Genomic DNA, 16,209 nt, shown 5'->3' with positions numbered 1-16,209 from the left:
TAGGATATTTCCTTTGTCTTCAGTGTTGTTTAGTTTAACTGAAGGGGCCCAGGGGTATATTTTGTGTATGTACATATCCTACTCACCACTTGAGTTTTTGTTTTTGTTTTTGTTTTTTCCATATTGGTACAAATCCCGACCCTGCACTGAGCACAGTGCAGAATTAGGGATTGAGAGTCTAGATGTTTCACTTCGTTTCAAACCATGGTTTAAGCAGGGGACTCACTTTCAGGAGAGACCCAAGGTGGATAGGTCAAGATATTCTGGTTTTCATTCATGATGAAAACATTTTCCTACCTCCTAGATCCATACAGAACACCTAGTTCTAGCTCCGTCAGTACCTGCCTACAGTTTAGCTCTCTTTCCTGGCTTCTCAGACCTGTTTCCCTTGCTAGCCTCCAAGGGCTGTGAAGCTTCAGGTCCCATTTACTGCTCTGCATTCCTTCTGCTTCTGGGTCTTAGAGGTTTCCTGTTATACTTTTGAGAATGGCTACTATTTTAAAAATATTTTTTAAATATGTTGTCCATTGTTATGGTGTGTTTGGAAAAGAAGGTGGGGAAGCAATGGATTAGGGTGGTGTTCTTTCAGGTTAGTTCAAACTGACATCCTCACCTGAAGTTGCTGCCCATCACTGAATGATAAAAGGCATATCTCATTTCCTTTTTTTAAAAAATTACTCCCTATAGTTAAAAACAGAAGTACAACTAAGCAATAGGCCTATGAAAATATTTAATCCTGATTATGTATTCAAAGGAATACAAAATAACATATCAAAATAAACTATTTTAACCTATCAAATAGTGAGATTGACAAACCCGTTGTGAGACTCAGGGATAGGTAAAGTGGAGTAGAAGGAAAGGATCAAGTTCTCTCTCCTAGGAAACAGAGTTAGCTCTAGCCTTAAAGTAGAGATGATCAAGAAGGAAACATGCATCTATAGCCATATCACCATGAATGTGCCCAATCTCATCTGATCTTGGAAGCTAAGCAGGGTTGGGCCTGGTTAGTACTTGGAGGGGAGACTGCCAGGAATACCAGGTGCTATAGGCTTTTTTTTTTTTAAGGAAACATTTTAGAGAAGTGATGCGTTAAATATTATATTGATCTTGAAGGAAGGGAAATGCACCCTGCTTGAGGCAATGAAAGGTAGTAATAAATTTTTTAATCTATTGAATCAGAATTGCCACCATTGTCTCAAAAAACTCTCATCCTGACTCCAGTGAGTAGTGTGACTTGGTATCCCAACTCTGGAGAGTATCAAAAGCCCTAAGCCATGCATACCCTTTGGTGCACTTTCTAGGAATATATATCAAGGAATTGATGACTATGCCACAGCATTTATCCACAACGGCATCTGTCACTGTATCATTTATAAAAACAAGGAAAAACAACAACAAAAAGCAAACCAACCCCCACCAAAATAAATGACAACAAAGAAAAACAACCAAAGGGCACTGGGGGATACATGATGAAACCTTCATACAAAAGAGATACTAGGTAGCTTTGGATGTAGGAAAATACATAATAACATGGTAAGACAAACATGAAATAGCGGAATCAGATTTCAAAGTAGTATGTTTGTAGTTTTACATACATAAAAGGTGCACACAAAGTGAAAATTCGTCCAAAACCCAGCAATTTCCCTTGGGAGTGGGGTGGGTAGGAGTAGGATGTGATTTTGCATGCTGTTTGTATTTCCCATTTCTCAATGTATTTGCTCTAGTGCCCCTGAAACTTCCCACTTAGCTGCTTTCTTGCCCTCTCCTGACTCAGTCTCTTAGGTCCCAATCAATCTCTGGAGGTGGAATGGAAGGAAGACAGGTAGACCCATCTCAGGGTGGCCACAGCTGCTCCCACTGGGGAGTTCCATTTGGAGAAGGCTCTCAGGTCTACCCCTCATCCAAGCCCTGGATTTCTTCTGGACCTCACCCAGAAAGGACAGGGTCATCTTCCATCTTTGCTATTCCATTCCACCATTCTTCCAGCCCAATTCCCTGCCTCTCCAAGGGGCACTGGTAGCTCAGGAAAAGAGCTTCTTCTTGGGGCTCTGTTTCAGACTTGGTTCCTGTCTTTGGTTTCTCTGTAAAACAGGGATAATGGTTAGGTGGTTGTGTGATAATGATGAGATTAGGAATGCAAAGCACCTAGTATGGTGCCTGGCACATGGCAGGCTCTCATCAGAGGCCGATTCCCTTCACTTGGTTCCTTTTCCCCACAGTAACAAGGCTGCTCCAGGTGAGACCTGATGACAAACAATGAACAGACATCATCGTATTCACTGCTTACAAGCATCCCAACGGAACCTTACTAAAAACTCCAGGTTGTGCACAGCTTGCCTGGCACCACACAGTAGTAAGTGGAAGAGCTGGGCTCAGGGCTCAGGGCTTTGGTCTCCTGGAGTCCCATCGGAGCAGAACCGGCCTTCCTGCCTTTTCCTCTGTAGCAGGGATGGGAGGGGTGATCCTCCCTCTTCAAGAAGCCTTGGAGCCAGGCTCTGGGAGGATCATTTCCCATCTTGCTTTGCCAAGTCATGTGATCCCTGGAGTGGGGATAAAGAGGACCATCTAGACAAAGGGGAGGGAAGATCAAGGACTGGGGTCCATTTCTCCTGTGGTGGCAGATGCCATAGGGCATTAGCACCAGTGCGTTTGGACGGGTCCTCCTTGTCAGGATGCTCTGACCCCTGGGTAGCCCTTGGCAACAGGAGTGCCCCCAGGGCCCCTAAACCCAGTCTTCACTCCTAAGTCTGAGCATAGCCCTGTGTCCTCAGGATGCCTCCCCACCCCCACCCAGGGGCCCTATGGGGCTTCCTCTAACACTACCCTCTGCCCTCCCTCCCCCGCCTTTTGCCTGCTTGCCAACCCTTACAGCAGCCACTAGGGAGGTCTCTGGTGGGAGCCACTAGGGAGGGGGGCTCTGATGGGACAGAATTTGCTTCCAAGGTTGGGAAAGGGAAGCAGGCTTCCAGGGCCAGGTCCTTTATCTTCTCCAAGATTCTGCAGTAACCTTGCTGGTAGGGAGGCAGTGGGAGGTGGCCTCAGGCAGGGAGAGGAGTCTCAGTGCTACACAAAATGACCTGTGTCGAGTCTGTTTCAGTTCACTTCACCCTAGTCCACCCTCAGGATTCTACTGACTTAAGACACTTTTGATCGCCAGACTCTAAAAAGGAAAGGGACTTATGTTTTGGGTCGTTGAACAAAGGTTGTCAACAGAACAAGCAGCTACCTCTCGGGGCCAGGCTAGGATGCTGCCTGCTTCTCATGGGGCAGTGGTCCAGGTCAAGTCGGTTCTCAGCACAGCCTCTGAACAGGAAACACGGTCCCTGCCACAGCCTCCCCCAGCCCTAGCCCTCAGAGGCTTCTCCCTGCCAACTCCTGGCCATGGGAGCTGGTGACCTCACCATGGGGCCTCTCCACCCGGGGCCACTGCATCACCCCCACCAGACACGGGAGGCCTCCAGTTGGGATTTTAGTGTATTAAACCAAGGACTTTTTTTTAAACTTAGAGAAAACAAGAAGACGTGACAACACCAGAAACAAGAACAGCTCTCTGGCCAGCCTGTGCTGACCAGTACACAGTGAATCACACACAGAAAAGTATGTCATTCCGGTCAGTGTCTAGCTCCACCGCCTAGAAAACAGACTGCAAATAAATAAAGCGCATGGAGACCCCGTCACGCAGCAAGGGCCCCATCTGGGAGAGAAGAGGTGGGGAGGGGAGGTGGAGAAGCAGCAGGCGGGGCTACCACTTCAGGCAGCAGGGGTGAAAAAGCAGGGACAGGAGCAGATGCTGAGGGCTTGGCCCTGACCCTCCCCAGTCAGCCCCTCTAGGCCAATACGGCCACACCAGAAGCCACTGGGGGTGGGCGGACATGGACTTCCGTGACCCTCTTATGGGGTGGGGCTCCCTGCAGTGGGGGGTCTTTGAGGGCAGAGACCCCTGCGGCTGACGCAACTTTATCCCAGTAGGGAAACAGCTTCCAGGGTCCCAGGCCAAGCCCCTTGCATGGGGAGGGCTCAGTCACCCCCCACACTCCCATGCATGCACTCAGCAAAGAGCTTTCCTCCAGCCTTCCTGGCTGGCCCAGGAAGAGGCTGGAGCTGGGGATCCAGTCACCCAGAGGGTGACACCAGGGTTTGAAAGGGCCACATCTGTGCATCAGACACAAGGAGGCTCCTCACTCCTCTTCTCCAGCCCTGTGTCACTCTTGTCCCATAGAGGCTGCCCCCAAAGATCTGTTGGGGGGACCAGCAGGCTGACAGACCCCCAGAGGTGGTCCAGGGTGGATAGGGTTGGGGTGGATGAGAGGGGCCAGCAGGGTCAGGGGTTCCCAAGAAACTTGGGACAAGGGGGCATGTCATCAGGCCCTGGATGTGGGAGACTGCAAGGGTCATGAGGCAGCCACTGTCCAGCCGCTTCTGGCATGAGGCAGGCGGACAGCTTCATTCAGGACCTGAGTCCAGTGGGCAGCTGAGGAGGGTACATAGTAGGTGGCTGGGCCACTCTGTCCCTGGAGCTGGCCAGACTGCTGCAGTTTTCAGTCCCAGGAACTGAGAACGTGGCGCCCGGGGTACCAGTGCAAGAGATGCGGAAATGGGGATAGATGGTAAGGGCGAGGGTCCCTTCCCGGCTCCCCTCTGGGCTGCTCCTGAGCATTGTACACCAGTTAGCAGCACACCAGGGGGCCCCCAGGAGCAATCCAAGCCGTGAGGATGAGATTCTCCTGTGTGATCCTGGGGATGGGGGGTCGAGCTTGAGGAGAGAGAATTGGGGTCATGCCATGGGTCTCAGCCCCAGCCCACCCCAGGTTTATCCCTTCACCCTCCTGGTTATGTCGTGTCTCCAGGAGCCACAACACCAAGATCACCCCCACTTGCCCACCAAACTGGGAGGCTTGTGCCACTTCACTGCTGAGGAGCCCTTGGTGAAGCTCCAGGTGGGGTGAGAGGCTAGGATGTGGGGGACAGCTTGGCTCCCCAGGGGTCCTGGGGCTCATCTCTCCTGTCTCCCATCTCAGCTGTCCGTCCTCCTGATCTTCCCTGTGACTTTCCGTACTGCTCCAAGGAAAGCGACATTCCTAGATTCCCTACCCCTGGGCCCCTCTCTCCCTTGGTGCCCCAGGAGCCCTATGCTCCCCTCTCCACTTCCCCCTCCCTCCTCCCACCATGCCAGGTCTTGAAGAAGACTGGGGAGGGGTGTGGGGGCCTGCAGGCCCAGGGGCACACGCAGTTCCTCCTCCTCCTATCTGCATGTCAAGGGCAAATCCACCCCTCCCTGAAGCCTCAGTTTCCTCTGTCATTAGGAGGGGGAAATACACCTCTCTCACAGTGCTGCTAGCAGATTTCAGTTCCCAGGGAACTCAGACCTTCCTTCCCAAGCCAGGACTCGATCACTGGGCACCCCCACCCCTGTGAGCCTTTGTCCATGCTGTGCCTCTACTAGGAAGGCCCTTCTTCTCCTCTTGTTCAGGCCCTTCACGCTGCCTCTGCCCAGGCAAGTTCCAGGGCCAGAGGTGCCCCTGGGCAGGGATGTGACTCTTGGCAAGGCCAGAGAAGGGGCGGGTCACCGCCTACAAATGCCAATGCCTGAAAGAGAAAGAAAGAGATGGGGACCTCAGTTGCCTGGCCACCAGACACGTCCTTGCTTCCCCCGGGAATGGCCTCCTCTGCAAGCCCCTCCTCCATCTGCTCTGCCCACCCCAGGCTGAGAGCTGCTGTGTGCTCAGGCAGGTCTCCTTTTCCCAGATCACTTCAGTACACAGTAGGCTTCTAGAGGCCGTCTGGGGCTGGAGGATGGGACTCTGGCCCTGGGAGGGCCTTGCTAGCTAGGGGCCTTAGGGAGCATGGGCTGACATGGCAGAAGAGCAAGACTAGGGGAGGGGACGGTAGGAATGCGTCTCTCCCACTCTTCCCTGTCTCCAAATGCAGAGCTTGGGGGGTGCCCTCATGTAGGGGTAGGGGAACATAAGGGACAGCAGGAGCAGGCAGAGACCAGTCCTCTGGCCCCAAAGACAGGGCAGGAGGCAGTTTTGCCAAGGGCTGTGCAGGAGCTGCAGAGAGACCCAGGGCTGAGGGCTGAGAACAGATATGGGGCTCAACCTAGAAGAGAACCGTCCTCCCTATGCCCACCGACTGGTGGGGAAGAGAAGGGTGGGGGCATCGTTGCTCCTCTAGGGCCTTCCGGGGCCGCCCCCAGCCCATTACCCTCCATTCCTCAGGGTTCAGGGGACACCCTGGGGGCCTCTGCAGAAAGGGAGGCAGGCACTGGGGCGTGGGCGGGAGGGGGCCGCCCCTCACCCTATCCTGCAATCATGACTGGGGAGGAGGGGAGAGCCTGCGGCTGCCTTTCCTTTCCCCACCTGGGCTCCACAGCTCTTCTGGCTGGTTTGCCCCGGTGCCTTCCATACTTCCCCCTGACCGCCAACACGCCCTGACATCTGAAGGGCAGAGCCACCGCCCCTCTCCCATTCCAACCTGTCGCCTCCTACCTTTCTGCTCCGGGCCTGGAAAGTCAAGTCGCCGCAGCAGAATTCCCTCCTTCTGGTTTCCCCCTCTTTGGCCAATATGAGGCAACAGGTCGGCCGAGCCCAGGTAGTTTCTGGAGCCCGATGGCAGGGGCCCATTCAGTGCGTTTCTGCGCGATCCAGGGCCCCCGGGCTGAGACCGCAGCCGGGGCCAGGGCTGGGCCGTCGTGCCCTGGCGGCGTAGGTCTAGAGTCCAGGGGTCCGAGCCGCCCCGCCTCCGCCCCCCGCCGCGGCCCAGCTTTCCTTCATGCCGGCGACCCGGCCGGGGGCGGGCGGGGACACGGGCGCCCCTTCAGCCGGGCCTTCGCCGCCGCCGCCGCCGGCGCTCACTCGATCCGCACCTGCAGGCGGACGTTAAGCATCACCGAGGCCACGATGTAGAAGTAGGGGAAGTTCATGCGCAGCCGCCAGGCCAGGTCGAAGAAGGTGAGCAGCGTGCGCGTGAGCCCCTTGCAGAAGGCGCCGTACGAGCCTCGGGCCGCAGCTGAGCGCGACAGCCGCACCGCCAGGCCAGACAGGGCCGCCGCAGCCGCCGCTGCAGACAGAGCCGCCGACGCCGCCATGGGCCCGGGCCCCGCGCAGGCCCCGCCGACCGACTGACCCGCTCGAGCGCGAGCCTCAGGGCGGTGGGACCCGAGCACTAGTGCACCCAGCGGGTCGCCCAGAGCCGCGGCCGCCCCGCCCCCGTGTTCCCAAGGCCGAGCGGGGCTCAGGCGGCCGCTGCCTCGGCCCCACCTCCACGATCCCGCACACGCCGCCCCCTCCACACCTCCTCACTGCGGGGGGCCACCCCCCCGAACCCCCACCCCGAACCCCCCCAGGCCAGCATAGGTCCGCCGCTGGCTTAGCCACGCCCCCAACCGGGAGCCGCAGAGAGGCCGTCAGCGCTGCGACCCCGCCTGCTCGACGTGCCCCGCAGGCTCAGCTCCGCCCACTGCCCCGTCCCGCCCACACAGCCCCGCCTCTTTCCGGGCGCCTCCGGAGGCTGGAGTGGATTGAAGGGCGGAGCTGCCAGGGATCGCTTTGAGACCATTTCCCAGGGTGGAGCGGCAGTGGAGGAGGACAATCTGGGCCGCTACGCTGATTCTGTATAGAAAGCACGTGCAGAAGCCTCTGCCTGTTCATATCACCTCCCTTCTCCCACGGTCTCCCCTGAAAACTGGCCAGCCAAGCCATTATATCTTTCTTTAATTCGCATGGTGCAGTAACTGCGCTACAGAGTGCCATCAAGCCCACATGCGTGCATTTTTCCCTTTCTGGTATATTTGCTGGTCACGTATATCTCTTTATTGGCGAATTTCCCCATTGTCCTTCCCTTTCTAAGCACTCTTCTTAATCCATTGTTTGCCATGGTGGTTGCACAAGGTCGTCTTGGGTTTTCATTTGCTCTTGTTTATGGCCTTTTTGTTTGTTTGTTGCCAGTGTGCTTAAAAGCCCTTTCGTGGTTTCATTCAATCTTTATTAAACGTAAACCAGTCAAAACCCAGTAGCGTTTTTTCAGACTGTTTTAATGATGTGGGGAAATGCTCTCACTTCGTTATGGTCATGACTTTTGAAAAACTGTCGGCAAGAAAGAAGTAGGTTCACCCAACCCCATCCCAGTTTTCACAACAAAGGTTGACGTGGGTATTTAAGAACTCTCAAAATACCTGTTCACCGTCACGCCTGATCATCTCTATGGTATCCCACGTAACTGAGGAACGCAGCGGATCCATTTACACTGATTGAGCAATTGTCCTACCTACATGATCAAGAAAAAAAAAATCCAGTTCCAGAATCACTGGATTCTGGTTATTGTGTGGACATCACGATTTTATCAACAACGCAACACATCCATGCATGGGTATACATGCATCAAAAAAAAAAATGCCAGGGCAGGAGGCTGGGCGTGGTTTTTCTTTTCTTTCTTTTTCTCTTTTCTATTCTTTTTTTTCTTTTTTTTTCTTTTCTTTTTTTTTTTTTTTGAGACTAAGTCTCACTCTGTCTTCCACGCTGATGATCTCAGCTCACTGCTGTCTCTGCCTCCCAGGTTCAAGCGATTCTCTTGCCTCAGCCTCCTAAGTAGCTGGGACTACAGGCACGCGACACCACGCCTGGCTAATTTTTGTATTTTTAGTATTTTTAATAGAGATAGGGTTCACCATGTTGGCCAAGCTGATCTGGAACTCCTGATCTCAGGTTATCCGCTTACCTCGGCCTCCCAAATTGCTGGGATTATAGGCGTGCAATCTCGGCATTTTGGGAAGCCAAGATGGGAGGATCACTTAAGGCTGGGCCTGTTTACCAAGGTCCTCGTCTCTACAAAAAAAAATAAAATATATTAGTGGGGTGTGGTAGCATATGCCTGTAGTCCCAGCTACACAGGAGGCTGAAGTGGGAGGATCGCTTGAGCCCAGGAGTTCAATGTTACTGTAAGCTATGATCCTGCCACTGTACGATGGAGTGAGACTGCCTCTACTACAAAAAAGAAAAAGCCAGGGCAGATATATCAAATTGCTCTATATTGTTCTGGTTAAGACAATAGGGAGACTTAAACTTTTTACTTCGCTCTATATGTCTGTATGTCCAAATGTATGTCTGTACATATTCCTTGTATAATACAATGAAAAAAATTAGTAATATTTGAAAAAGAAAGGGCCATAGAAATATAGACTTAAGGCACATAGAAACCCATTGTTCCAGACTGGCTAGAACCCCATTCATTTGCAGACCCTGTTGCTTCCAGCCATTTCTGAAACCTCTCCTTGGCCTCATCTCATTTATTTTTTAACATTTTGTTTGTAAATAATTATAGACTCACAGGAAATTTCAAAAATAGTACCAAAAAAGACCTTGTGCCTTTTATCCAGCTTCCCTCAACAGTAACATTTTTTGTTGATGTAATATAACATCAAAATCAAGAATTGAAATTGATACATTACTGTTTACCAGACTGCAGGCCTGATTTCACTTGGAATATTTTTTTAAACCTGCATTAATGTGTGGGTGTGCACACATATAGTCCTAACAATTTTACACCATCTAAAGATTTGTGTAACCACAACTACAATGAAGATACAAAAGTATTCCATTACCCAAAAAAAACCTCCTTTGGGTTACCTCTTTGCACTCACATTCAGCCACTCTGCACATATTATGTTAGATTTATTTCATCCTCTTTGCAGTGACTGCTAGTGGTATTGTGAGTTTGATTACATGTCAAACATTTGGTTTCCATGTGTTCATTGTTAATATATAGAACTGCAACTAATATTTTAATTACATTATTAATCTTGAGATAATTGTAGATTTACATGCAATTTTAGGAAAAAATACAGAGAGATCCCATGTTCCCTTTAACCAGTTCCACTGGTTAATATCTTTCAAAACTACAGTACAATATCATAATCAGGATGTTGATATTGACACAATCCATCTATCCTATTCAGAATTCCCTCAAGCTGCCCTTTTTTGACCAAATCTGCTTCCATCCTGCTCTCCCTCCTTAATGACTGGCAACCACTAATGTGTTGTCTATTTCTATAATTTTATCATTTCAAGAATGTTAAACAAATGGAATGATACAACATTGTAACCTTTGGGAATTGACATTTTTCACTCAATATCATTCTCTAGAGAATCATCCAAGTTGTTGGGGGTGTGAAGTGTCAATAGTTCTTTATTTCTTTTTGCTGCTGAGTAGTACTCCTTGGTGTAGTTGTACCACAGTTTGTCTAACCATTCACCCAGAGTATTCCCAGTTTTGGCTATTAGAAATAAAGCTGCTATGAATATTAATTTACAGCTTATTGCGTGAAGATAAATGCCCATTTCTCTGGGATAAATGTCTAAGTGTGATTGCTAGGTCATAAGGTGCATGTTAGGTTTTGTAAGACTCTACCAAACTGTTTCCTGAGTGGCTCTAGCATTTTATATTCCCACCAGTAATTTATGAGTGTGTTGATTCTCTGCATCCTTGCCAGCATTTGGTGTTATCACTATTTTTTATTTTAAACATTTTGATAGGCGTATAGTGATATATGATTCGGCAAATACCAATAATGAAGGTGAAAAATCATTTTATGTGCTTATTTTCCATCTGTTTATCCTTTTTGGTAAAATGTTTTTTGCCATTTTCTAGTTGGACTGTTTTCTATGCTTAAATCTCGAGACTTCTTTATATTTTCTAGATACGAGTCCTTTAACAGATATGTGGTCTGCAAATTTTCCTCCCATTCTGTAGTTTGTCTTTTCATTCTGTTATTAAGGGCATTATCTGAGCAAAAGACTTAAATTTTGATGAAGTACCATTTATTGGTCCTTTTTATTTATGGATCATGGTTTTGATGTCATGTGTAAGAACTCTTTACCAAGCCCTAGGTCCTAAAGATTTTCTCCTGCGTTTTCTTTTTGAAGTTTTGTAGTTTTATATTTCACATTTAAATTTGTGCCCCACTTTGAGTTAACTTTGGTATAATATTTGAGGTTTAGGTCCAGGTTCAATTTTCATTTATGGATGTCTAATTGTTAGAGCCCAATTTGTTGGAAAGGGTATCCTTCCTCCACTGAGCTTCTTTTTCATCTTTGTCAAAAATCGGACTTGGGTCTCTTTCTATGTCCTCTATTCTGTTGTATTGGCCTATGTGTCTATTCTTTCTACAGTACCACACTGTCTTTATTACTGTTTGGATATAGTACGTGTTAATATGGGAATATTAGTCCATTCACATACTGCTATAAAGAAATACCTGAGACTGGCTAATTTATAAAGAAAAGAGGTTTAAGTGGCTCACGGTTCTGTAGGCTGTGCAAGAAGCATAGCAGCTTCTGTTTCTGGGGAGGCCTCAGGAAGCTTACAATCATGGCAGAAGGCAAAGGGGGAGCAGGCACATCACATGGGTGGAGCAGGAGAAAGAGAGAGAGCGGGCTGGGGGGTGCCACACACTTTTAAACAAGCAGATCTCGTGAGAACTCACTATGATGACAACAGCACCAAGGGGATGGTGCTAAACCACTCATGAGAAACCACCCCCATGATCCAATCACCTCCCACCAGGCCCCACATCCAAGATTGGGGATTACAATTTTACATGAGTTTTGGGCGAGGACACACATCCAGACCACATCAATGGGGTAGCATGACTTTTCTCTATTTTTTTGAACATTTCTTTAGCTACTCTAGGGCTTGTGCCTGTCCATATACAATTTAGAATAAGCTGATCTATGGGTACAAAAAGGCTTGCTGAAAATTGTGTTCAATTTAAAGACCAATTTTGGGGAAAATTGACATAGTTTCTGTGTGGATTCTTCAAATCCAAGAACACAGTATGTTTCTTCATTTATTTAGATATTCTTAATTTCATCAAAACTGTAGAATATTCAGCATTCAGATCCTATATATGTTTGTTAAATATACTCCTAAGTACTCACTTTCTTTGAAGCAATTATACATGATTTTATGTTTCTAATTTCAGTTTCCACATGCTTGTTCATTGTTAGTATGTAGAAATATGATAATTTTTTTTTTGTTCATCTTGTATCCTGCAACCTAGCTGAACTTTTTTTCTTACTTCTTGTGAGACAGGAATAATGCAGTGTGGTCGCAGAAGAATAGAAAATTCCAGACAACAGTTTCAGATGACTAGCAAAAGGAAACTGCTGAAATAGCAGCAGAAGCTAGGGGCTGATTAGACCCTAAAAAACCAGGGTATGGACCAAGCTGGCTAAGACCAATTGGACCCAACACAGTGCTGGATTTGACCTAGGTGTTACCTAGGACGTCATTATACCGTCATTAACATAGTAAATCACACATCCACTAGCACCAGGACAGTTCCAGGAACACCCATATTTGGTGTAAAAATGGGTGGTGCCACAGTTTCAAGAAATCTCTAACCTTTTGTGGGAATCTCTGTGAATATTCCACCCCTTGATTAAAGAGACCCGCAAAGGTAGAAGCCCCAAATTCCATTGCATGACTCACTCTGAGTATGCCTGCACTCCCCTTTCTTGAGTGTGTACTTTTGCTTTGCAATAAATCACTGAACTTTCACTCTTTTCTGACTTATCCTTGCATTCCTTCTTGCAATGGTGTCAAGAGCGTGGACACCAGCTGGGGTCAAAGTCTAACCAGTGTTTGGGGACCTCCCCCAAACTTGGAGTCTTGGTATCACTTGGAGTATCACTTGGAGTCTTTTTGTCAATTCCTTGGAATTTTCTAACTAATGTCATTTGTAAATTGGGACAGTTTTATTTTTTCCTTCCTAATCCTTATTTCCTTTCCTTGTGTTATTGCAGTGGATACAATTTCCAGTACTAGGTTGAAAAAGAGTGGTGAAAAACTAACATCACTGACTTGTTTGGGATCTTAGGGGGAAGCATTCAGTCTTTCACCACTAGATATGATGTTAACTTTAGGGAGTTTTGTTTGTTTTTTTGAAAAAAGTTTCTCAGTTGTCTCATTTTTTGTTTCCTTTATTTAAAAAATTTAGGATTGTGGTAAGATACACATAGCATAAAATTGATCACGTTAACTGTTTTTAAGTGTTCAGTAATGTTAAGAACATTCACATTGTTCTGCAACCAATCACCATAGCTCTTTTTATCTTGCAAAAGATAAAAAAAAATTACAACTCCCCGTTTCCTCCTGCCCTTATGCTCTGAAAACCAATATTCGACTATGCGTCTCAATGAATTTGACTACTCTAGGCACCTCATATAAGTGGAATCATACAATATTTGTCTTTTTGTAATTGGCTTATTCATACAAAATAAAATTCAGTGTAGTCCTCAGAAAACATTTTTTTTTTTTTTCTGAGACGGAGTTTTGCTCTTTGTGCCCAGGCTGGAGTGCAATGGCGCGATCTCGGCTCACTGCAACCTCCGCCTCCCGAGTTCAAGCGATTCTCCTGCCTCAGCCTCCCGAGTAGCTGGGATTACAGGCACCTGCCACCACGCCCGGCTAATTTTGTATTTTTAGTAGAGATGGGGTTTCTCCATGTTGGTCAGGCTGATCTTGAACTCCCGACCTCAGGTGATCCACCCGCCTAGGCCTCCCAAAGTGCTGGGATTACAGGCGTGAGCCACCGTGCCCGGCCGGAAAACATATTTTTTTTATAAGAAGCATAAAACCATGCTTGAAAATGAATAAATCTGTGAAATCTCGTAAAAATTTGAAGTGAGGTTCTTGTAGCATAGAGTTGGGTTATTTTTTTAATCCACTGTCAATTTCTGTCTTTTCATTGCTATTCTTATATCATTTACATTTAAAGTAAGTATATTGATATGTTAGGGCTTAAGTTTGCTATTTTAATATTTGCTTTCTGTTTGTTCATTTTGTTTCTTATCCCTCTGTTTCTCTTTTCTTGCCTTCCTGTAGGATATTTGAACATTTTGTAAAAATTCCATTTTGATTTACATGTAGTGTTTTTTTCCTTTTTTGTACTATAATGTTTATTTTTATTTTTTATACTGGTATAAATATATATAAAGTTCAGTAAAGGTAACTTTTCATTGTCTCTATTCCTTCTCTGGTCATTATAGTCATTTGTTTCGTTTCTATTTATTTATTTACTTATTATACTTTAAGTTCTGGGATACATGTGCAGAACGTGCACGTTTGTTACATAGGTATACATGTGCCATGGTGGTTTGCTGCACCCATCAACCCATCACCTACATTAGGTATTTCTCCTAATGTTATCCCTCCCATAGCTCCCTACCCACCGACAGGCCCCAGTGTGTGATGTTCCCCTCCCCGTGTCCATGTGTTCTCATTGTTCAACTCCCACCTATGAGTGAGAACATGCAGTGTTTGCTTTTCTGTTCTTGTGTTACTTGGCTGAGAATGATGGTTTCCAGCTTCATCCATGTCCCTGCAAAGGACATGAACTCATCCTTTCTTATGGCTGCATATGATTCCATGGTGTAAATGTGCCACATTTTCTTTATCCAGTCTATCATTGCTGGACATTTGGGTTGGTTCCAAGTCTTTGCTATTGTGAACAGTGCTGCGATAAACATGCATGTGCATGTGTCTTCAAAGTAGAATGATTTATAATTTGGGGGGTATATACCCAGTAATGGGATTGCTGGGTTAAATGGTGTTTCTGGTTCTGGATCCTTGAGGAATCGCCACACTGTCTTCCACAATGGTTGAACTAATTTACACTCCCACCAACAGTGTAAAAATGTTCCTATTTCTCCATATCCTCTCCAGCATCTGTCATTTCCTGACTTTTTAATGATCGCCATTCTAACTGGTGTGAGATGGTATCTCATTGTGGTTTTGATATGCATTTCTGTAATGACCAGTGATGATGAGCTTTTTTTCATATGTTTGTTGGCTGAATAAATGTCTTCTTTTGAGAAGTGTCTGTTCATATCCTTCGCCCACTTTTTGATGGGGTTGTTTATTTATTTATTTATTTATTTATTTTGTAAATTTGTTTAAGTCCCTTGTAGATTCTGGATATTAGCCCTTTGTCAGATGGATAGATTGCAAAAATTTTCTCCGATTTTGTAGGTTTCCTGTTCACTCTGATGATAGTTTCTTTTGCTGTGCAGAAGCTCTTTAGTTTAATTAGATCCCATTTGTCAATTTTGGCTTTTGTTGCCATTGCTTTATATGTAGTGTTTTTGAATATAGTTCTTCATATTATTATCTTTTGTTGGCTACTGTATGTATTACATTACACATCAAAATCTACTGGCATCAACATTTAAACCACTTTGAGTGAAGCAGAGAAATTTTACTTCCATTTAGCTTTCTTCACCCTCCTCCCATCTAAATATAAATAGCTTAAGCATTTCCTCTATGTACATTGAGCCTGCCCTAGCTAATGTTATACATTTTGCTTTAACCATCAAACATGATCTTAAAAACTCATCAGGAGAAAGTTATCCTGTTATGTTTACCCCCACTTTTACTCATCCCATTATTCTTTCTTCCTTCCTGAAGTTCCAACTTCCTGTGTTATCATTTCCTTTCTGTTTAGATAATTTCCTTTAGCCATTATTTAAGGGCTGCTGATAACCAGTTCTCTTAGGTTTTATTAATCTGAGAATGTCTTTATTTCCTCTTTACTCCTGAAGGATATATTTGCTAGATATAGAATTAGTGGTTGACAATGGATGGGAAAGTGGAGGGCTGCCTAGTCTTGCCTGCACTGAACCACCTCCTTCAGTTTTCTTGGTGCCGGATGGGAGTGACACCTGGGTGAATGGAAAAGCTGAATGCCAACTAACTAGCTCTCCCTTGGACTTTCTCATCTCCCTCCTTGGTGATGATTTGTGGAGGAAGTCCTCCTCCCTCTAGACCTTATTGACACAACTCCAGCAGAGTGCTGCTTGTTTCTATTGGGTAGGGGGTTGGAGTGGAAGATCGGATTCCTGGTGCAGTCATCAGAGACATCAGAGCACCACCACTTACTTCCACATGGGAGGTAGGAGGCTGAATATTAACTCCCCACTCAGCCCTACTGAAACTGCACAGATGAGTGGGTCACTTTGACTGAGGTGAGGGGGTTTGTCAAAAAGGTGTTCTGCTCTGTTAAGCCACCATTTCTCCCAAAACCTTTGGCTAGAGGAAACAAGCTTTTCTTGGAGATTTTCTTTGTTGGCAGTTCTTGGTTGCTGGCTTCTCTGGTGCCCAATCAAGGATATATGAGAGGGAAAAAGAAAATTCAGGGAGCCAGGAACAGTGGCT

The 16,209-nt window shown here is 46.8% G+C and overlaps 1 protein-coding gene and 1 pseudogene across 1 annotated transcript, besides 1 other annotated feature; one reads left to right on the top strand and one right to left on the bottom strand.

The window, feature by feature from the left end:
* On the top strand, positions 934-1,051 carry RNA5SP515 (RNA, 5S ribosomal pseudogene 515; annotated as a pseudogene).
* Positions 1,144-7,275, bottom strand: SMIM10L2A (small integral membrane protein 10 like 2A). Its single transcript, NM_203306.3, has 2 exons — positions 6,489-7,275; positions 1,144-5,586 (listed from the first exon to the last, which is right to left on the bottom strand). Exon 1 carries the CDS (start codon positions 7,085-7,087, stop codon positions 6,851-6,853), a length of 237 nt encoding a protein of 78 aa, NP_976051.1. The 5' UTR covers positions 7,088-7,275; the 3' UTR covers positions 1,144-5,586; positions 6,489-6,850.
* Positions 6,985-7,214: a silencer, noted in NCBI's record as "silent region_21020". NCBI's record gives its function as "represses an Ori minimal core promoter by ATAC-STARR-seq in GM12878 lymphoblastoid cells {active_cell/tissue: GM12878}" and the evidence as "EXISTENCE:reporter gene assay evidence [ECO:0000049][PMID:35858748]".

This window comes from Homo sapiens, chromosome X, assembly GCF_000001405.40.
Source record: "Homo sapiens chromosome X, GRCh38.p14 Primary Assembly".
Taxonomy (NCBI): Eukaryota; Metazoa; Chordata; class Mammalia; order Primates; family Hominidae; genus Homo; species Homo sapiens.
Note: the sequence above shows the minus strand (reverse complement) of the source record. Positions and strands in the feature narration are given on the sequence as shown.